Genomic DNA, 22506 nt, shown 5'->3' with positions numbered 1-22506 from the left:
TATTCCAAAGAAGAGGTAAAAAAAAATTTGGAAAGGATATGTAGGTTAAAGTGGAAAGGAGTAGGGTTTGAGAGGCAAGGGAGCAGGAATAGTGGTATAAAGAATTGGGGGTCTGGGCAGGGTGGCTCATGCCTGTAATCCCAACACTTTGGAAGGCTGAGGTGGGTCAGATCCACTTGAGCTTAGGAGCTCGAGACCAGCCTGGGCAACATGGCAAAACCAGGTCTCTACCAAAAAAATAATAATACAAAAATTAGCCAGGGCTGGGCATGGTGGTTTACTCCTGTAATCCCAGCACTTTGGGAGACTGAGGTAGGTGGATCACTTGAGGCCAGGAGTTTGAGACAAGCCTGGCCAACATGGGGAAACCCCATCTCTACTAAAAATACAAAAATTAGGCAGGTGTGGTAAATTAGCATGCCTGTAGTCCCAGCTACTCAGGAGGCTGAGGTGGGAGGATCACTAGAGCTGGGGAGATGGAGTTTGCAGTGATCCGAGATAGTGCCACTGTACTCCAACCTGGGTGACAGAGCCCAACCCAGTCTCAAAAAAAAAAAAAGGTTAAAAAGTTAAGGGGTTGAGAGGTATAAAGAGATTATAAAGGTTAAAAGTGCCATGACAACTAGTTTAAATTTGGTTTCATAGGAAAGGACGACACTACCAATTTCACTATCAATAATTTTTTGAGTAGATAAATAAGAAAGTGGGAAAGGTACTCTACATATTTGGAATGACATGTAGGCAAAGTGAGACAGGAAGACAAATCAGTTTACCAGATAATTCAATGCTAAAAGTCAAATACACATGTCCACATGTACATATACTACATTTCAATTGATTCCACACACACATTCTTCTTATATTTTAGCATTTCTGAAATCAGAATGCATAGTACAATCAGTGGTATCTTATGATTGCCATTGGCCAAACTTTTTTCTTATCTCGATGTGTCTATTGTTCAGGGTTCAGAAAACAATTATCTTCCCAGGCAATATGGTCTTTCAAAAGATTATATGACAATATTCCCTGAAATTTCATGTACTATGCATTGCACATTTAGATGAAAGCTGTTCCTTGAATTGGATAAAAATAATTTAAAAAGTCAAGTAACATTGCTTTTAAATAAATTTCATAGACAATTCTGAGCCTTCAGAATTGACCATCATTTTCCCCCCCACTACTCTATTCAGCCTTTTTTGTTGTTGAGTTTTGCTCTGTCGACCTGCTGGACTGCAGTGGCGCCATCTCAGCTCACTGCAACCTCCGCCTCCTGGGTTCAAGGGATTCTCCTGCCTCAGCCTCCCAAGTAGCTGGACTACAGGTTCGCGCCACTACGCCCAGCTAATTTTTTGTATTTTTAGTAGAGACAGGGTTTCACCATGTTGCCCAGGCTGGTCTCGAACTCCTGAGCTCAGATGATCCACCCCCTACAGCCTCCCAAAGTGCTAGGATTTCAGGCGTGAGCCACCACACCCAGCTCAGCCTTTTTTCTTTTAAAACAAGTAATTTGTGGCACTTTGTTCTTATTTTAAAACCAGTTTCACTTCTAGATTATAAACTCTATTCGGTCAAGACTATGTCTTTTCCATATTTATTTCCTAAGGATATAGCACAGGGACCAGCACATTGCAGGTATTTAAAGTTGTCTGGAATATTTAGGAATGGCAGGAATGGAAAAAGATATACAGTAGTTACACTATTAATAGATAAGATACACTGAGTACTAACTTTTTTTTTAATTTTTATTTTTTTTGAGAGAGGGTCTGACTCTGTCGCCCAGGGTGGAGTGCAGTGGCGGGATCTTGGCTCACTGCAATCTCTGCCTCCTGGGTGCAAGCGATCCTCCCACCTCAGTCTCCTGAGTAGCTGGGACTACAGGTACCCGCCAACATGCCTGGCTAATTTTAGTATTTTTTTTTTTTTTATAGAGATGAGGTTTCGCAAATATACTGGGCACTTCTGATCACTTATTACTGAGCACTTACTACATATCAGGGCACATATGCTTTCATGTATCCTTACAACCCATTAGGTGTATTCCTTTATTCCCTTTATTTTACAGACAAACAGATATTAAAGCACCTTACCCCAAGTCATATAGTCAGTGATGGAGCCAGAACTGGAACTCAGCAAAAGATCTAGTCCTCTGCAAGTCACTTGCATTCCCACAACTTTGGACTTTTCAACAACCCACTTAAGTAAATTCAGAATGAAGAGTTCTTTCTAATTTTCATCCAATGAGCAGCAATAGACAAAGCATAGGCACTGAGTACTAGCAAAGGAGGGGCATTAAAAGAAATAAGAAAAGTAATTTTTATACAAAAGTGAGCCGGGCATGGTGGTAGGCACCTGTAATCCCAACTACTCAGGAGGCTGAGGCAAGAGGATCCCTTGAACTGGGAGGTGGAGGTTTCAGTGAGCTGAGATTGTGCCACCGCACTCCAGCCTGGGTGACAGAGCAAGACTTTGTCTAATAAATCAATAAGTACATAAAATAATTTTCAGAGCATTTAATATTTATTAAAAAAAACAACAAAATAGTCAGAAATCAGAACTTTCTTACCTAAATTAGACCTTCTTAAATTATGGTTTAGTACCATTTATTTTTAATTACATAAGGGAGAGAAATTCCAATTTTTTAAAGGATTTAGGGCCTCTCTTGGTTTTAATCCAGCCTTGTGGACAAGTACCATTCTTTACAAACTAGTACTGTTTTCACATAATATTGTCTGGCTGGCTTAAATATCTTTAGGGTTACACTGAAAACAGTGCATCTTTGGGGGGCAGAGGTGATTGAGGTAAATGTGGATGAGGAGTCAAAGGGAGAAGACCATCCACTTTTCAACAGGGGTGCTGTTAGCATTTGCGTGAGACCATTCATCAGTGCAGAAATGTCCCATGCATTGAGTTTAACAACTCTGGCTTACTTCCACATGAATGCCTGTAGCTATCGTTTTTCCCTCCCCATTATCAAGACACCCCAACTGTTTCAAATGTGTCCTAGAGAGGCAGTATTGCCATGCCAGAAACCATAGATGGCTAACCCAGCGGGTCCTCTTTCAGTGTCTCCCACAGGAACCAGACACTACATCTAGTCCCCTCTTTTTACATAGATATTTGTGTTTTGTATGAACATCAGTTCCATCTTTAAGTCCAGGAACTGTGATTCCATGCCTTGATAGTCAAATTGAAACTCTGAAGTTTTGACTTCTGAGGTTCATAACCTTTGATACAATGATCACTATAGCACAAGGTAGCCAGGAACTCCTCTGATCTGTTAGGAAGATTGTTCTGCCCAAGAAAACAGTGCAGGTATGGCCTTCTGAATTGGCCATGGAAACCCTGGGTTAGCTCTATTGAAATATAAAGTAAAAATGGGTTTCTGGCTTTATAAAAGAGGTTCAAAACCAGGGCCTTCTATTAAAATACAAATTTAAATATTTGCATCAAAACTTAGGGCCAGACGCGGTGGCTCATGCCCATAATCCTAGCACTTTGGGAAGCAAAGGCAGGTGGATCACTTGAGCCCTGAAGTTTGAGACTGGCCTGGGCTCTTCTTTCTTCTCTTTACGTTTTCTCTTTTTGTCCCAGTTAGAGTCTCCCGAGGAACAAAGCTCTTCTGATGCCTGTGTTTATTCCATAGACTCATTTTGGACTTACGATCTCCAGCACTTTAAAATAATAAATTTGTCCTGTTTTAAGCCACTAAAGTTGTGGTAATTTGTTTCAACAGCAATAAGAAACTGATATACATATATTCTAGCTTAAACACTAAATTTTTATATTATTATTACGATGATTTCTCTCTTTTAGAGTTCAATTGTAAATGGTGGTATAACAGTTTTCTTTTGTTGTTGTTGTTGTTGTTTTTTGAGACAGGGTCTCAATCTGTAGCCCAGGCAGGAGTGCACACTGGTGCGATCTCCTCTCACTGCAGCCTCACCTCCCGGGTTCAAGCGATTCTCCCACCTCTAGTCTCCTGACTAGCTGGGACCACAGGCATGCACCACCATGCATGGCTAATTTTTATATTTTTTTGGTAGAGATGGGGTTTCACCATATTGCCCAGGCTGGTCTTGAACTCCTGATCTCAAATGGTCCTCCTGCCTCAGCATCCCAAAGTGCTGGGATTACAGGCAGGAGCCACTGCTCTGGTGGTATAACATTTTGTTTAATGCTTATGCAACAGTTTATGTTGCATAAGTAAGTTCATGAAACATTGATTTGTGGTTTTAAGGTAGGAAGGAGAGGTTAAGGTTAAATAGTGAAATACAACAAGCAATTTTCTTTATACGTGTGGTCGTGTGGTGAGATACCAAGCTTAAGGGGCAAATCCTTAAGGGATTTGGTGGGAGCCCAAGCTTCCTCAATGAGCCCCAGTCTGAACTCAGAGCTCCCGTGAGAACTCCCTCATCCTCTGTATTAGAGACAGTCATCCTGAAACCTCCTGAGGCCTCCTGAGATGTCTGTGAAGTGGCATTCACCATAGCAGGCTCTTCTTAGATTTTCTTTTTTGTCCCATTTCAAGTCTGCCCCCTCCTCCTTTCGTCCTTGGTCCTTTATCCTGTACTTCCAATCCCCACGCCTATTAGGCATAAGACCTTGGCAGGTTGGTTACCTCTTGGACTCTCAGTTTTCAAGTCTGTGAAATAGGGAAAACGCATCCTTTATGGAATGCATTGCAAGGATTACATGAAACCAAAAAATCTTCCAATCCCCTTGTGAGGATTACATGAGACAAAAAACTAAAATTTATCTACCACATAATGTGTCCCAGAACTGTGCTAAATGTTTTAGCCCATGTAATCCTCACGATCCCTCTGTGAATTAAATACTATTATTATTATTTTTTCTCTTTGTTTTTGTTTTTTTTTGTTTTTTGTTTTGAGATGGAGTTTTACTCTTGTCACCCAGGCTGGAGTGCAGTGGCACGATCTCGGCTCACCGCAACCTCCACCTCCCGGGTTCAAGTGATTCTCCTGCCTCAGCCTCCCAAGTAGCTGGGATTACAGATGTGCGTCACCACGCCCAGCTAATTTTGTATTTTTAGTAGGGACAGGGTTTCTTCATATTGGTCAGGCAGGTCTCGAATTCCATGACCTAAGGTGATCCACCCGCCTCAGCCTCCCAAAGTGCTGGGATTACAAGTGTGAGCCACCGCGCCTGGCCTCTTTGTTATTTTTTTACTTTTTATTTTATTTTATTTTTTGAGACAGAGTTTCGCTCTTTCGCCCAGGCTGGAGTGCAGTGGCACGATCTTGGCTCACTGCAACCTCGGGCCACCGGGTTCAAGCAATTCTCCTCCCTCAGCCTCCTGAGTAGCTGGGATTATAGGCACCTGCCACCACGCCCGGCTAATTTTTGTATTTTTCTTTTTTTAGTAGAGGCGAGGTTTCGCCATATTGGCCAGGCTGTTCTCAAACTCCTGACCTCAGGTGATCCACCCGCCTCAGCCTCCCAAAGTGCTGGGATTATAGGTGTGAGCCACCACCCCCAGCCTGTTTTTTTTTTTTTACTTTTAAATGGATTATTAACTCCAATTTATAGGTAAGGAAATTGAGGATAAGATAATTGAGTGACTTCCGTAGAACAGGTAAGTGGAGAACCAGGATTTGAACCCAGTTCTGTCTTCACACGGTCTGTGCTCTGAGCTCTGGCATTAACTCTGTAGAGTACCTGGCACAGGCCCCAATCAATGGGGGCACCACACATTCAGCAACATTCACCACACATTCAGCAAGTGTGTAGTCCTAGAGTCAGACTGCCTGGGTTCAAATTCCAGGCTCACTGACTGTGACCTTGGGTAAGGTACTTAAACTTTCTGCCTTATTTCCTTATTTGAAAAATGAGGATAATAATAGTAATTCTCTTAGAGGGTTATCCTAAAGATTAAATGAATCAATATAAGTAAAGCAGTTTGAACAGTGCCTGCTCCTTATTAAGTGCTCAATATATGTTACCCATCTATTTTATTCCCTTCCTATTTCTTTCTTTCCCCCTTATTTCCTCTCTTCTCTTTTCTCCTTCTTCTCCTCTCTCTCTTCCTAAGCCCAATTAGTGATCCTTAAGACCTTGATTAATCCATTTCCCTTCAATGGTACCACACTTCTCTCTCTTTTAAAAAATCATTAGTCTTCTTTTACTCCCAGGTAACTCTAGTTACAAACACTACCTGCAGAAGATAGGGGTGTCTTGAGGGCAAACAGGTGTTTACCTAGTGATCTATTATGGGATTTGTACTTTTATGAGGAAAGAACTTGGGGAGGAAAAGCAGTAGCTTGTTTCCTTTAGAGAAATGGTTGTAGCTCAAAACAAGAAGAACATTGCAACAATTTGTGTGGGCTGTGGAAGGAATGGGTGGTTAGGTGTTCCCGTCACCAACAGTGTTTGGGCACATGCTGCCTGCCCTCTTGTCGCTGGAATCCTTGGTGGTGATTTCTGCTAAGGGCAGAGCTTGGACCTGATAACCTCTTGAGACCCTTCCGGCTGAAATGGGAGATTTTATGAGAAGTCCTTTTAAGGGGCAGTGGTGTGGCACAGTGGAAAGAATCCTGCACAAGGCGCCCAGATGCTTGGGTCCTGGTCCTTGCTCTTCCCCTAACTGTAACCATGGGCAAGTTGGTTTTCCTCTTTGGGCCAGTTTACCCATCTGTAAAATGAGGGGTGGAACTCATATTTCCCTCCCCTGCCCATGATTCACCCTGACAGACTCTCCACTCCATCAATCACTCAGTCACATCCAACAAATGAGTGAAAGTGGGCGAGAGCAAGATGGTCGCTCCCAGGAATCATAGATAGGGCCTGAGGTCTCTGCAGCCAAGGTCTATACACACTCATTGGTAGTGCCAGAGAAGTGATGACAGGGCACACCAGGGGACAAAACATGGGAGGGCAGGGGCTTCCTCCAATCATATCATACATATGCTGTCTATACTGCTTTTCCTATAGCCAACCCTGAGTTGAAAAATTCTCTTATTGCTTCCATTGAAATGTCACAAACATGTCCTCCATTTCCTTTCCCTTTGGAACAATAATGGGAGCCTCTCCTATTTGGGACATTCTACCACATGTCCAACTTGTGGTCTATACCCCCTCCTTGTAAGTTCCCTTTCTTCTCCTCATCTTTCTGCTTCCCTCTCTCTCTCTCTCTTCTACTTCCTCCCTCCCTTCCTTTCTTCTTTTATTTTTTAAATTTTAATTTAAAATTTTTTTTGAGACAGGACTCTTGCTATATTTCCCAGGCTGGTCTTGAACTCCCGGGCTCAAGTGATCCTCCCACCTTGACCTTCCAAAGCGCTGGGATTACAGGCATGAGCCACTGTGCCCAGCCTCTTCCTTCTTAAAATATTTACTGAGCACCTTATGTTAAGCACTGGGTATATAATATATAAAATAGACACAGCCTCTGCCTTCTTAGAGTTTTTGGCTGAGTGGAATCTCCAAGAGAGCTTCCAAGCAGGGATGTCTATATGTCCCTCCCTCAGAGAGACTCCTGATGAAGTGACCTGCAGCTCACCCTCCCTGCCAGCTCTTTTCTCCTCCAGGGATCTGTCGTCCCCCACTCTCACCCCAGCAGAGTGGCCCAAGGGATGGACCAGGATGAAAGAGGAGGGTTTGCCTAGAAAGGAAGGGCTATCTGGGAAGAGATGTGGTTTTCCACCTCACTGACCCTGCAGGCCTGGCCCCATCTACCTGTAATTCCAGGGAGGCAGTTCCCAAGGACTGTGTGTGGGCTATAGAAGGAATGGGCGGTTAGGTGTTGCCACAATGTTTAGGTGTGTGGCACCTAATGGAAGACATCCACTTCCACTGATTTTGTTGTTGTTGTTGTAATCAATGGATAATTTCCAGCAATGTTTTTCTTGAAAACTGAGCTGCCTGAGAACGTCTTGAGTGTGCACAGAGGGAACATGCTGTGGAGTGGGTGAAACAAGTGAACAATTCCAAGTCAGCAGCTCAGGCATTCCGGAACACTGCTAGCTGCTCTGGGAGCTTTGATTGTCTTAGAGTATTTTTTTTTTTTTTTTTTTGAGACAGGGTCTCCCTCTGTCACCTAGGTTTGGGTGCAGTGGCACAATCTCAGCTCACTGCAACCTCTGCCTCCTGGGTTCAAGCAATTCTCATGTCTCAGCCTCCCAAGTAGCTGGGATTACAGGTGTGCACCACCACACCTGGCTAATATTTGTATTTTTTGTAGAGATGGGGTTTTGCCATGTTGGCAAGGCTGGTCTCGAACTCCTGACCTCAAGTTATCTGCCCACCTCAGCCTCCCAAACTGTTGAGATGACAAGGTGTGAGCCACCACACCCAGCCATCTTCAAGTCTTAAATTGTGTTTTCCGTCTCTTCATTATAACTTTGGGACAAGTCACACCTATTTGATCACCGTGTGACATTCATTTGATAACTCTTATTTTGTAGGACATGAAAATGTCTACACTCATTCAACATTCAATGCACAAAACAGAAAAGATGGTGCTCATTCTATCCAATGTGGCTTTTCATTTACTGGCGTAGACTGCTCTTGCCTTGTGTGGGATTTGTGGAAAAGGGCTTGCACAGGGCCATGTGAAACCTTCTCTCTTGCCTCATCATTGAAAGAAAATATGGCAGGGTGCAGTGGCTCATGCCTGTAATCCCAGCACTTTGGGAGGCCGAGATGGGTGGATCACGAGGTCAGGAGATCGAGACCATCCTGGCCAATATGGTGAAACTCCATCTCTACTAAAAATACAAAAATTAGCCAGGCATGGTGGTGGGCACCTGTAGTCCCAGCTACTCAGGAGGCTGAAGCAGGAGAATCGCTTGAATCTGGGAGGAGGCGGAGGTTGCAGTGAGCCGAGATCACGCCACTGCACTCCAGCCTGGGCAGCAGAGTGAGACTCCGTCTCAAAAAAAAAAGCAAAGCACTAGCATTTTGTATGTATTTTTTTAAAAATAGTTAATTTTATTGAGTGTATACATTAGGTCTTAAAAGCACTTTTTGTCTTTTTTTTTTTTTTTTTCTTTCTGAGACAGAGTCTTGCTCTGTTGCCTAGGCTGGAGTGCAGTGGCATAATCTCAGCTCACTGCAATCTCCGCCTCCCGGATTCAAGTGATTCTCCTGCCTCAGCCTCCCCTTGCCTGGCTAATTTTTGTATTTTTAGTAGAGGCAGGGTTTCACCATGTTGGTCAGGCTGCTCTCCTGACCTCAGGTGATCCGCCCGCCTCGGCCTCCCAAAGTGCTGGGTTTACAGGCATGAGCCACCACACTCAGCCTTTTTGTCTATTTGTGATGCCGGGACACATGGCCAACCTACATTTTTAAATTATATATATATACACACATATACATATATATACACACATATTAAACGTGTACGTATGAGTCTACATATACTTTTTTGTTCAAATAAATGAAAGTCAGTTGAATAACTTTTGACACTTGTTAATATCAAAAAGTTGAAAAGTTTACATTTAGACAGAGCATATAGAACAATTTTAATGATAGATTGCTCTAAAGTAAAAATATTGTTCCCTTATAAATCACTTACTCTATGCAAAAGTGACAGGGGGCTGGGCACAGTGGCCCACACCTGTAATCCCAGCACTTTTCGAGGCTGAGGTGGGAAGATCGCTTGAGCCCAAGAGTTTGAGAGACCAGCCTAGGCAACACGGTGGGACCCCATCTCTACGAAAAAAAAAAAACCAAAAATTAGCTGGGTGTGGTGGTGCATACCTGTAGTCCCAGCTACTCAGGAGGCTGAGGCAGGAGGATCACTTGAACCTAGAAAGTGGAGGCTGCAGTAAGACACGATTGTGCCACTGCACTCCAGCCTGGGTGACAGAGTGAGACCCTGTCTCAAAACAACAACAACAGCAAAACAAACAAACAAACAAACAAGCAAAATCCCAGAAAAGTGACAAGATACCCAGTACTGGTACCTTGGGTAGGGGTGGGGTGATGAAAGTATACCTTAATGCTGAAGGCTACAGCAAGTCACCAGGCAGGGAGGGGTAAAGGAGGTGGTCATCCATAGGGCTCCTGGTTGCCCCTTGTCTTTTTCAGTGGCAGGGGCAGCACCTTGGTATTATTGGTCAGAAGCCACTTGGCTGAAGGCTGGGAGGGAAAGTAAAGGGACATTGGTAGAGCACCACTTTCCCAGGGTCCAGCATTTTATGCACACAAGTTAACTCTACATCTGGTGCGGTGGTTAGGGCACGGATTTTAGAGACAGATTAGGTTAGGAGTCCTGTCCTGCTTTCTAACTTTATCACCCTGGGCAAATCACTTTGATAAATATCCCTAAAGAGATCACGTACATGCTACACAAGATTGTCATAAGGATTGAAGAAATGCATGTACGGTCTTGGCATGGGACCCAGTATTAAATAAATGCTCAATAAATTTTGACCCACACATGGTAACAAAATTCTCTTATTGCTTCCATGGAAATGTCACAAGCATTTTCCCCATTTCCTTTCCCTAGAAATATTATTAATGGTCCCTCCACTATAATCCCAGGAGGCAAATATTATTTTCTCCTAACCAACCACAAAATGAGGCCTAGTGAGATTAAGTATTATTCACCTGGCTAGGCCTAGATGCAAATCCAGGCTTCAAAATCTCTTGATGTTTCCCTTCATGCCACAATTAAACCTTGAGGGAGTTTTCCAGGATGTCACTGCTCTCCTCTGAAGCACAGATTGATTTATGCATTCACCAAATATTTATTGAACCCCTATTAGGCGACAGGCACTGTTCTAAGTGTTAGGAGAAAAAGCAGTGAACACAGACAAAAATCCCTGCCTTTGTGAAATGTACATTCTAGTAGGGTATAGAGATAATAAGATAAAGAAGTGAAATGTAGATTAGATTTGATAGTGATAAATTCTAAGGAGAAAAAAAAATAAAGCAGGGAAAGAGAATAAGTGAGTGTATGTGGATGGGGATGGGTTGTTATCATTTTAGATATAATATCCAGGAAAGCCTCAATGAATAAGAAAGAGACATTTGAGTAGAGAGCTAAAGTGGGGAGGCACACTCCTCAGATTTCTGGGGTAAGAGCCTTCCAGGCAGAGAGAATAGCAGGGGCAAAGGCCCTGGAGTGGGAGCCAATCAGCTCTTGCAGGACAGAAGGAGATGCCCTGGAGGAAAGTCTGAGTTTCTGGAAACAATTTCTTCATCTTTTGATTAGACTGTGAAGACTCTCTCTTGCCCAAAGCAAATATTTCTAACATTTGGGCTTCCCCTTAAGCAGGCACCAGTCCTTTGCTGGGTCACTAATGCCTGGGGTTGAAGCAACCCCGAGGAGCAGGGCTGGCTTTGTGAAGTTCTGATTTGTTGTGTAATGATGGCAATTGCCCTTATAACTCAGTGCATTCTGTGGGTTGACAAGCTCTAGCCTCAAGGTTTTCCACATCCCTCGGATGCTCTGCAGGGTAATAGAAGGGGCTATTTCTCAAAGCCTGACCTTGATGTCAATATATCACTTCCTGGACTCGTGGAGCTTTGAGCAAATGCTTTGATCCCAGGAGTGGGGATCTTCCAGCTTGATTTTTGCCTTCCTGGAAAAATGAGAGCCTGCTGAATGCAGCGAGTGAGAACAGGGACTTTGGAACCAGAGAACTGATTTAAGTGCTCACCCTGGCATTTATGAGTTACGCTACTTCGAGCAAGTTACTGACCTGCAAAAGGAGGACATTCACACTTAACATCTTAGGCAACTAAGAGTATGGTGATGCGGAGGGCGTGGCTAGCACAGAGCCCACACTTAGTGGAAGCTCAGTAGATAATCGCTGTGATTATTTTTACCTTCTTGAGAACTTGCGTGCTAGTAGAATTTCATATTGATGAAATTGTGGTCTGTGGACATCCAGAATCGCAACTGAAAATGGGCAGCTTGATGTCCATATGCATTGGAGGAACTAGGTTGGGTGTGGGGGTGGAGCCATATCAGATAAGCCAGTTAAATTAATCAACTTCTGATTTCTTGTGCTGTTACAGTAGTGCTTCCCATTCTCCTTGTGCCATTCCTTAGGGAGGTCATTTGCAGATGGAGTCCGGTGAACGGAAACCTGTTTCATTTTATTTCCTTTCCTTTCTTTCTTTTTTTTTTTTTTCTTTTCTTGAGACAGGGTCTTGCTCTGTCAACCAGGCCTGGAGTGCAGTGGTGCCATCTTGGCCCTCTGCAACCTCTGCCTCCCGGGTTCAAGCTATTCTCATGCCTCAGTCCCCTAAGTAGCTGGGACTACAGGCATGTGCCACCACACCCAGCTAACGTTTTGTATTTTTAGTAGAGATGGGTTTCACCATGTCGCCTGGGCTGGTCTCAAACTCCTGGCCTCAAGTGATCTGCCTGCCTCAGACTCCGAAACTGCTGGAACTACAGGTGTGAACCTGCACACCTGGCCAGAAATCTGTTTTAAATGTGGCAAAAGAGATCACCGTTTCAAGAAAATCTGCATTGTATGTGTTTTAAGAATGCAGATTCACATGGTTTGGTTTGACATGTGCATTTTGTGTTTGCAGAATCATTTGCTCCCTATCAAATGCTTCTGTGGATATCCAGGGAGTCACAGCTGATAGCCATCTTAATGTGTGGGTGAAGTGGTATCTCATTGTGGTTTTGATCTGCAGCTTGTTAGTGACTAGTGATGTTGAGTATCTTTTCATGTGCTTATTGGACATTTGTATATCTTCTTTAGAGAAATGCTGTTCAAGTCCTTTGCCCACTATTTTTCAGATGAGGTCTCACTCTATCGCCCAGGCTGGATTGCAGTGGCGTGATCACAGCTCACTGCAGCCTTGATCTCCCTGGGCTGAGGTGATCCTCCCAGCTCAGACTCTCAGGTAGCTGGGACTTCAAGCACGCACCACCATGACTGGATAATTTTTTTGTATTTTTCGTAGACACGGGGTTTTGCCATCTCCAACTACTGGGCTCACGTGATCCTCCTGCCTTGGCCTCCCAGAGGGCTGAGATTAAAGTCATGAGCCACCGCACCTGGCCCTTTGCCCATTTTTTAATTGAGTTGTTTGTCTTTTGTTTGAGTTTTAGAAATTCTTTCTACAATTTGCACATTAATCCCTTACCAGCTATATGATTTGCAAATATTTTCTCCCATTCTTTGGGTTGTCTTTTTATTCTCTTGATATTGCCTGTCTTTGTCTGTTTGTGCTGCTATAGCAAAATGTCTGAGACTGGATAATTTATAAAAAACAGAAATTTATTTTCTTACAGTTCTGTAGGCTGCTAAGTCCTAAATGAAGGCACTGCCAGGTTTGGTGTCTGGTGAGGGCAGCTCTCTTTTTCCAGGAGGGTGCCATGTTGCTCGTCCTCCAGAGGGGAGGAGTAATGCTGTGTTTCAGTAACTCCTGTCTTTTCTAACCCACCCTGAGCAAAAAGCTGTGATGCTTTGGAAGCCAGTCCACTTCCAGCTAATGCCACATACCATGAGGAACCATCCTTATGCAGACTTGAATTTTTTTCTTTCTCAGGTCATGCAGAACTTCCCATGTGGTCCTAAGGGTAGGTTAAGGGAAGAATGGGGTGCATCAGAAGAACTTGGCCCAAGGCAGAAGGGCGACAGAGCCCAATGCTGTATGAAGCCTCTTTTTTTTTTTTTTTTTTTTTTTTAAGAAGTTATCTCGCTCTGTCACCCAGGCTGGAGTGCAGTGGCATAATCTCATCTCACTGCAACCTCTACCTCCTGGGCTCAAGCGATTCTCCTGCCTCAGGCTCCTGAGCAGCTGGGATTACAGGTGCCCACTACCACGCCCGGCTAATTTTTGTATTTTTAGTAGAGACAGGGTTTCACCATGTTGGCCAGGTTGGTCTCAAACTCCTGAACTCAGGTGATCCACCCGCCTCGGCCTCCCAAAGTGCTGGGATTACAGGCATGAGCCACCACGCCCGGCCCTGAAGCCTCTTTTATAAAGGCCTTAAGCCCATTCCTGAGGGAGGAACTCTCATGATCTACTCACCTCTTAGGTCCCATGTCTTAATACCATCACATTGGCAACACCTGAATTTTGGAGGAGACACATTCAAACCATAGCAGTGCATTTTGATGTGTAAGTTAAATTTTGATGAAGTCCAAGTTATATATATTTTTTTGGTTGCCTGTGCTTTTGGTGTCATAAGAAATCGTCACCAAATCCAATGTCACAAAGGTTTTTCCCTATGTTTCCTTCTAAGACTTTTATAGTTTTATTTTTAGTTCCTACACATAGGTCTTTGATCCATTTTGAGTTAATTTTTGTATGTGGCGTAAGATAAGGGTCCAACTTCATTCTTTTGTCTGTGGATATCCAGTTTTCCCAAAACTATTTGTTGAAAAGAGTGTTCTTTCCCTCACTGAATAGTGTTATGGGCTGAATTTTTGTCCCCCAATAATTCATATGTTGAAGTCCTGACACCCAACACCTCAGAATGTAACCATATTTGGAGATAGAACATTTAAAAAGATAGTTAAGGTTAAATTAGGTCATAGGGGAGTAGGTTGGGTCCCTAATCCATGTGACTGTCTTTGGAGATAAGTCTTTACAGAAGTGACTAAGTTAAAATGAGACCCATAGTATAGGACCCTAATCCAATATGACTAGTGTCGTTATAAAAAGAAACAGCCAGGCGTGGTGGCTCATGCCTATAATCCTGCCACTTTGGGAGGCCAAGGCAGGAGGATCCCTTGAGCCCAGGAGTTCAGGACCAGTCTGGGCAACATAAGGAGACCCTGTCATTAAAAAAAAAAAAAGAAAGAGAGAAAGAAAGACACTAGGGATGCATAGGCACAGAGAAAAGGCCATATGAGAACACAATAAGATGTCCGCCTGCAACCAAGGGAAGAGGCCTCAGGGAAAATGAAACCAAATTTAAAAATTAAAATCTTCCCAGCAGCCGGGCGCGATGGCTGACACCTGTATTCCCAGCACTTTGGAAGGCTGAGATGGGTGGATCGTTTGAGGTCAGGAGTTTGAGACTAGCCTGGCCAACATGGCAAAACCCTGTCTCTACTAAAAATACAAAAATTAGCCAGAGGTGGTGGTGTGCACCTGTAATTCCAGCTACTCGGGAGGCTGAGGCAGGAGAATCACTTGAACCCGGGAGGCGGAGGTTGCAGTGAGCTGAGATAGCCCCACTGCACTACAGCTCGGGCGACAAAGTGAGACTGTGTCTCAAACAAATAAACAAACACATCTTCCAGTCCATGAACACAGGTGTCTTTTCATTTCATCCATATTGATATTACCAAGGGTAATTACCAATTTATCACAGATTTAGTTTTAGAAGTTTTTGTTTTTTTATAATAAGCATTTATATATTCCTACATATAGATAACAACACAAAACCTATATATACAAATAAATACACATATATATAAATAAATATACCCACATACATATGTTTTTGTGTATGTACACATATACACATATATTTCACCTCACTACTTCTTTTTTTGGGGGATCTTTTTCTTTTTTTCTATCTCCCTCTGTCACCCAGGCTGGAGTGCAGTGGTGTGATCTCTGCTCACTGCAACCTCCACCTCCCGGGTTCAAGCGATTCTTCTGCCTCAGCCTCCTGAGTAGCTGGGGTTACAGGCACCCAGCACCACACCTTTTGTACTTTTAGTACAAAAGGCTAATTTTATACTTTTAGTAGAGATGGGGTTTCACCATGTTGGCCAGGCTGGTCTTGAACTCCTGACTTCGGGTGATCCGCCCACCTCAGCCTCCCAAAGTGCTGGGATTACAGGCAGGAGCCACCCTACCCAGCCTCATCTCACTACTTCTTGAAACTCACTTATTCCTCACAGATACATTTTTCTTCTTATTGGAATGTGTCTTTATTTCATAAAGAGTCTAGTTTGGCTGGACATGAAATTCTAGGTTTATTTCCCCTTAATGTCTGAAGAGGTATTGTTTGTCTTTCTTAAAAAAATTTTTTTTGGCCGGATGCAGGTGGCTCACGCCTGTAATCCCAGCACTTTGAGAGGCCAAGGCAGGCGGATCACCTGAGGTCAGGAGTTCGAGACCAGCCTGGCCAACATGGTGAAACCATGTCTCTAGTAAAAATACACAAATTAGCTGGACATGGTGGTGCGCACCTGTAATCCTAGCTATTCTGGAGGCTGAGGCACAAGAATCACTTGAACGCAGGAGGCAGAAGTTGCAGTGAGCTGAGATCACACCACTGCATTCCAGCCTGGGTGACAGAGTGAGACTCTGCTTCAAAAAAAAAAAATTTTTTTTTTTAGAGAATTCACTGTGTTGCCCAGGCTGGAGTGTAGTGGCTAGTCACAGGCACACTACAGGCTCACATTCGTGAGCTCAAGTGATCCTCCCACCTCAGCCTCTTTCAGTAGCCCAGCTCTGTGTTTGTCTTCTTACATCTAACATAGCTGATGAGAGCTCATCTCAATCTGCCTTTCTTTCCTTTATAGATAATAGTTTTTTACCTCCAGGGAAGGATATAGAATTTTCTCTTTGGTGTTCTGTAATTTACTACCATGTGTCTAGATGGAGATGAGCAGAGAGGGAGGAGTAGCTGAGAGGGTCTGTGGAGGTTCAAGCCCCCGGCTCTCTCACACTCTACCTACTCTACTTCCTCCAGGGTGGAGCCTTTTTGATCCCACCTTCTTGTGAGAACAGTAACCTTCTTTCCAATCCCATATGCTTTCTGCCCTTCAGGGATCTCATACAATTTCTGACCCAGTAGGGGTTTCTCTTTTGTTTTGAGCTTGATTGCAGATTTATTTTATTTTTGAGTTGTATTTTCAAATGCTAAAGCTAAAACTATGAAACATTTGCAAGAAAACACAGTATCTCTAGTATCTTAGATTAAGCAAAGATTTCTTACAAAAGCATGAACCACAAAAGAAAAAAATGGATAAATTTGGCTTCATTAAAATGCAGATCTGTTCTTCAGAAGACACTTGTCAAGAAAATGAAAAGATAATCTATACACTAGGAAGAGATATTTGCAAAACACATATCTGATAAAGGACTTGGAAGAATATGTTAAAAAAAACTCTTCAAATATAATAACTAGAACCAAAGATTCAATTTCTTTTCTTTTAAGAGACAGGATCTCGCCCTGTTGCCCAGGGTGGAATACAGTGGCATGATCAGAGTTCACTGCAGCCTTGAACCTCTGAGTTCAAGGCTCCTGCCTCAGCCTCCCAAGTAGCTGAGACCACAGGCATGAGCCACCATGCCTGGCTAATTTTTAAATTTTTGGAGAGACGGGATCTCACTATGTTGCCCAGGCTGGTCTTGAACTCCTGGTCTCAAGCCATCCTTCTGCCTTGGCTCGGCCTCACAAAGAGCTGAGATTACAGGCTTGAGCCACCACATCTAGCCTTAAATAATTCATTTTTTTAAGTGAGGAAAATATTTAAACAGACTCTTCCTCAAATAAAGGGTATGCATGACAAATAAGCACATGAAAAGCTGTTCAACATCATTCTTCTTTATTTCCCCCCCACCCAGAGTCTCACTCTGTCACCCAGGCTAGAGTGCAGTGGTGCAATCACAACCTACTGAAGCCTTGACCTTCCAGGCTCAAGCAATCCTCCCACCTTAGCCTGGGACCCCAAGTAACTGGGACCATAGGTGTGCACCACCATGCATGCTTGTGGTCCCAGCCAATTCTTCCATTTTAATTTTTTTGTAGAGATGGGGTCTCCCTATGTTGCCCAGGCTGGTCTGAAACTCCCAGGCTCAAGCGATCTTCCTGCCTTTGCTTCCCAAAATGCTGGGATTACAGGCATGTACCAATGCACCTGGCCATCATTAGCTTTAGGGAAATGCAAATTAAAACCAGAATGAGATACCACTACCCATCCACTGGAATGACCAAAATTAAAAGGTGCTGGTGAGGAGCTAGGGCAACTGGAACTCTCATTCATTACTGATGAGAACGCAAAATTGTACAGCCTCTTTGAAAATAAATTTGGCAATTTTTAACAAAGTTCAATATATGCTTACCTTATAAACCAGCAATCCTGCTCTTAGGCATTTACACAGGAGAAATGAAAACTTATGTCCACACAAAGATCTGTTTGTGAATATTTGTAGTTATTGTATTTATAATCACCAGAAACTAGAAACAATCCCCATGCCCATCAATTGGTGAATGGATAAACAAATCATGACAACTTTAAAAAAATATGTATATATATACATACTTTTATTTTTGTAGAGAGGAAGTCTATGTTGCCCAGGCTGGCCTCCAACTCCTAGCCTCAAGGTGATCCTCCTACCTCAGCCTCCCAAAATGCTGGGATTATAGGAGTGAGCCACTGCACCTGGCAACAATCATCACACTTTGATACAATGGAACACAACTTAGAAAAAAAAAAAGCTTCAGATATACACAACATAGGTGAATCTCAAAAGCATTATGCTAAGTAAAAGAAGCCAGACTCAAAAAGTTCCCTTATATAAATCCTGCCAAACGGCATTTTGGAAAAGGCAAAACTGTAAGGACAGAAATCAGATTTGTGGTTGCCAGTGGCTGGGAGCTGCGGGGAGGGAATTGACTGCAAAGGGACAGGAGAGAACTTGCGGGTGTGATGGAAATGTTTTATCTCTATTATGGGGATTATATAACTGTATGCGTTTGTCAAAAGCCATAAGCTTATAAAAGGAATGAATTTTTATAGGTAAGTTATGCCTCAATAAATTCTGACACTAAAAATGTGTTTCTCCCTACTGTGATTTGAAGGACTTGAGCCAAAAGAGAAAGCTGTAGCTTGTGTTCAGTGGGTCATCCTGAAATGGCACTCAGCCCAAGATTTGTAAACAGCACTTAAGTATTAGTTCCTTTTCCAGAAGCCCCATTCAGTGGTCCTCTCTGAGCAACGAGTGTCAGTCTTGTTTTCCAGTAAGATTGTAAATTCTGTGAATATGAGAACTAAAGTGATCGGCCGGTCTGGTTTGCCCGGCCTGGGGGCCAGCCAGCCTGGGACTGTTTGGGACTCCTTTTTAAATCCTCCTATGATATCTAGCAGAGGAATGGGCACAAACTTGTTGGCATAGAGAGGTCTAACCTGCTTGTAACTAGGGTTGCAAGTAACCAAGCTGAATGGCCCAAGGGTTACCAAGAGTGAAGACCCACCTCGACAAACTCCAAATTCCTAGACATCGCTGGAGACTCACCCTTCCGCCAGGGCTCAGCTTTCAGGCTTGCAACATCTCTTAGACATTTCCTCTGTTGGCATAATATGATTTAATCTCTTTGTAGTTACGTTTCTTTTTCTGAGACAGGGTTTTGCTCCGTCACCCAAGCTGGAATGCAGTGTTGCAATCTTGGCTCACTGCAACCTTTGCCTCCCCTGCTCAAGCAATCCTCCCGCCTCAGTCTCCCGAGTAGCTGGGACTACAGGCATGTGCCACCATGCCCAGCTAATTTTTGTATTTTTTTGTAGAGACAGGATTTTGCCATATTGCCCAGGCTGGAATAGTTCAGTTTCTTCATCTGTTAAAATACAGATCACAATATCCACATTTTGAGGAAGGGAAAGGAATTTTGTACTGTTAACAGTTTACTACTGAGATTGTAAGGGTTAAGTTTGCCTGCATCTTATTTATTAAGGTTGGTGCAAAAGTAAATTGTGAATTTGGGCCGTGAATTTTAAATCATAACTAGGCTCAAACACATCTTTATTAATCAAAATAGAAACCATTAGAAGCAACACATTTTTGCTAACAAGAAATAAGTTTGTTTATTCTTGTAGCATAAAAATCCATGCTTCAGGATTCGACGGACTTCTCAGAAAGCATTTTCTGCATCCTACTGGTTGTGGAAGCATTTTCCCTGCAAAAAGTTGTCAAGATGCTTGAAGAAGTAGTAGTCGGTTAGCAAGAAGTCAGGTGAATCTGGTGGATGAGGCAAAACTTCATAGCCCTATTTGTTCAACTTTTGAGGAGTTGGTTGTGCGACGTGCGATCGGGCATTGTTGTGAAAGAATTGGGCCCTTTCTGTTGACCAATGCTGGCTGCAGGCATTGCAGTTTTCGGTGTATCTCATCGATGTGCTGAGCATACTTCTCAGATGTGATGGTTTCACTGGGATTCAAAAGCTATAGTGGGTCAGACCAGCAGCAGACCACTAAAAATCCATGACCTTTTTTTGGCACAAGTTTGTCTTTGGGAAGTGTTTTGGAGCTTCTTCTCAGTCCACCCACTGAGCCAGTCGTCACCAGTTGTATAAAATCCACTTTTCCTCACACATCACAATCCAATCGAGAAACAGTTCCTTGTTGTTGCACAGAATAAGAGAAGATGACGCTTCAAAATGACGATTTTTTTATTTTCGCTCAGCTCATGAGGCACCCACTTATCAAGCTTTTTCACCTTTCCAATTTGCTTCAAATGCCAAACGACTGTAGAATGATCGAAGTTGAGTTCTTGGGCAACTTCTCGTGTAGTTGTAAGAGGATCAGCTTCGATGATTGCTCTTAATTGGTCATTGTCAGCTTCTGAAGGCCAGCCCCTACTTTCTCATCTTCAAGCTTCTCGTCTCCTTTGTGAAACTTCTTGAACCACCACTGCATTGTACATTCGTTCGTTAGCAGCTCCTGGGCCAAATGTGTTGTTGATGTTGTGAGTTGTCTCCGTTGCTCTATGACTTATTTTGAATTCGAATAAGAAAATTACTCAAATTTGCTTTTTGTCTAATATCATTTCCATAGTCTAAAATAAACACAAAATAAACAGCAAGTAATATGTCATTAGCAAAAAAAAAGCAAGAAATTCCCATTAAAAGGATGTATAACATAACCACATTTATATAAGAATGTATTCCAAAATCAAACAGCAAATTCCAATAATAAGAACACCGCAATTACTTTTGCAGTCACCTTAGTCTTTGCAGAAGCCCTTGAAGGAAGGAATCCTTGTCCCCGCTTTACAGTTCTAGCTACAGAGGCCTGGGGATGCTAAACAGCTTGCCCAGAGCTAAACAGTCAACACAAGGCAAGTTGGGATTCAAACCCAAGTCCTTCCAGTTGCAAGCTCAGGTATTGGGGTACCTTCCAAACACCAGGATAACTAACATAGGATAGAAGGAACTCAAAATGCTGTTTCTGCCCTGTCTTCCCCTTCTTTCCATTCCCCAAAAATGAACAAAAATTTTTCTCCCTACAGGTGAATCTATCAGCCAATGAATCAAGTTCACTATATTTAGGTTTTCATGAGTAGGAACTGGGAAAAGAGAAACTTTTCTTGGGCCAGGAGAGAATGGAAAGGCTGGATGGACATAACTGCTGGGCTGGGAGTGGAGATGGAGGGGCCAGAGAGAGACTGGCTTCTGTCTGAACCGCTGATGATCCTGTCTGGACTGTGAGCTTCTGGGAGCTCCCTCCTATCTGGTCTCCTTTGTTACCGGTATCCCTGTACTTGGAGGATGCCCCATGTGGGATTACCCTGTAAACTGTAGTTGGTGACAGAGCAAGCCCAAGCAGGCCCTGGTGTCCTCCTCAAGGACCTGCAGTCTCATGAGGTGGTACGTGCCTGGCAAGGCCTCCGGAGCAGGTCCCGGGAGGTCAGCAGCTGGCAGGAATCCTACAAGCCAGCACGTGAGATGGTAGGAAAGAATTCTGAACCCCTGAGTGCCTGGGAATGGAACATTCTGCCTTGCCAGCTGTGATCCCCCCACCCCCTTCCTTGGCAAAACTAAATAGTTAAGTGCATCTTGACAGCAAACCCAAATTTAACTTTGCTTCCTTCTGCAATGAAAGTCCAGCTGAGTTGGGAAGGGAGAGGCCCTTGAAAGGTATTTCCACCTTGGCTTGACTTATTAGGTTAGTAGAAATGGACTTGTTGTTCTTACTGGTAGGTTATTAAAACCCTCAGGGAATGTGCAGAAGGCAAATTTAGTCTGAGGAGCCCAGTAGGCCTAGGAGACGCTGAATAAAGAGTCTAGTTGTTTGGATAGCTGGAATGTTGGGGAGAGGCAGCTTTTCACTGAAAGCTGCCCCCAGGTTGTGCCCTGTGGCTCCCAGTGGCCCCACCCTGAGAGGGTCTGCATGTGACGCCTGCTATCTGCTCAGCGCCTATCTCTTCCTGTGCCTAGGTGGCTCCTCCCCCACTGTCTGTTAGACTGAGAAGCTCAGCTGGCCTCTTGCCCCTTGGACTTGATCTCCACTAAAGTCTCTTCAGACTGAGGAGTGCAGGAGGAAAGGGAGGGATGAGAGTGGGTGGCAGGGAGGTGGGAGAATGCTGCATCTGGCATATCCTGATGCTCTTGAGAAGTGAGCCCTCAGCAGGGCGGAGCAGGCTCCCAGTGCGGAGGCTTGGAGGGAGGAGGCGGTGCTGCAACCTGTCACCTTAAAGGGTTTGATTGAGCTGCTGACTCAGAAGCACAGGGCTGATTACCCATAATTACAGCCCCATGTGGTAGTCTTGTCAAAATGCAGAGACCTCCTTAGTCCCAGAGCTCTTCCCCCTACCCCTTCTAAGTAGAAGCTGCCTTTCCAGAAAACAAATCTTCAGACCTGCCCACGCAAAACCCCACAAAGTCAA

At 43.7% G+C, this 22506-nt stretch overlaps 1 annotated feature.

The window, feature by feature from the left end:
* Nucleotides 21987-22394: a silencer, noted in NCBI's record as "fragment chr1:211721978-211722385 (GRCh37/hg19 assembly coordinates)". NCBI's record gives its function as "represses an EF-1alpha promoter that drives an FKBP-Casp9 reporter gene in an ReSE screen in HepG2 liver carcinoma cells {active_cell/tissue: HepG2}" and the evidence as "EXISTENCE:reporter gene assay evidence [ECO:0000049][PMID:32094911]".

This window comes from Homo sapiens, chromosome 1, assembly GCF_000001405.40.
Source record: "Homo sapiens chromosome 1, GRCh38.p14 Primary Assembly".
Taxonomy (NCBI): domain Eukaryota; kingdom Metazoa; phylum Chordata; class Mammalia; order Primates; family Hominidae; genus Homo; species Homo sapiens.
This window is presented reverse-complemented; position numbering and strand designations above follow the sequence as displayed.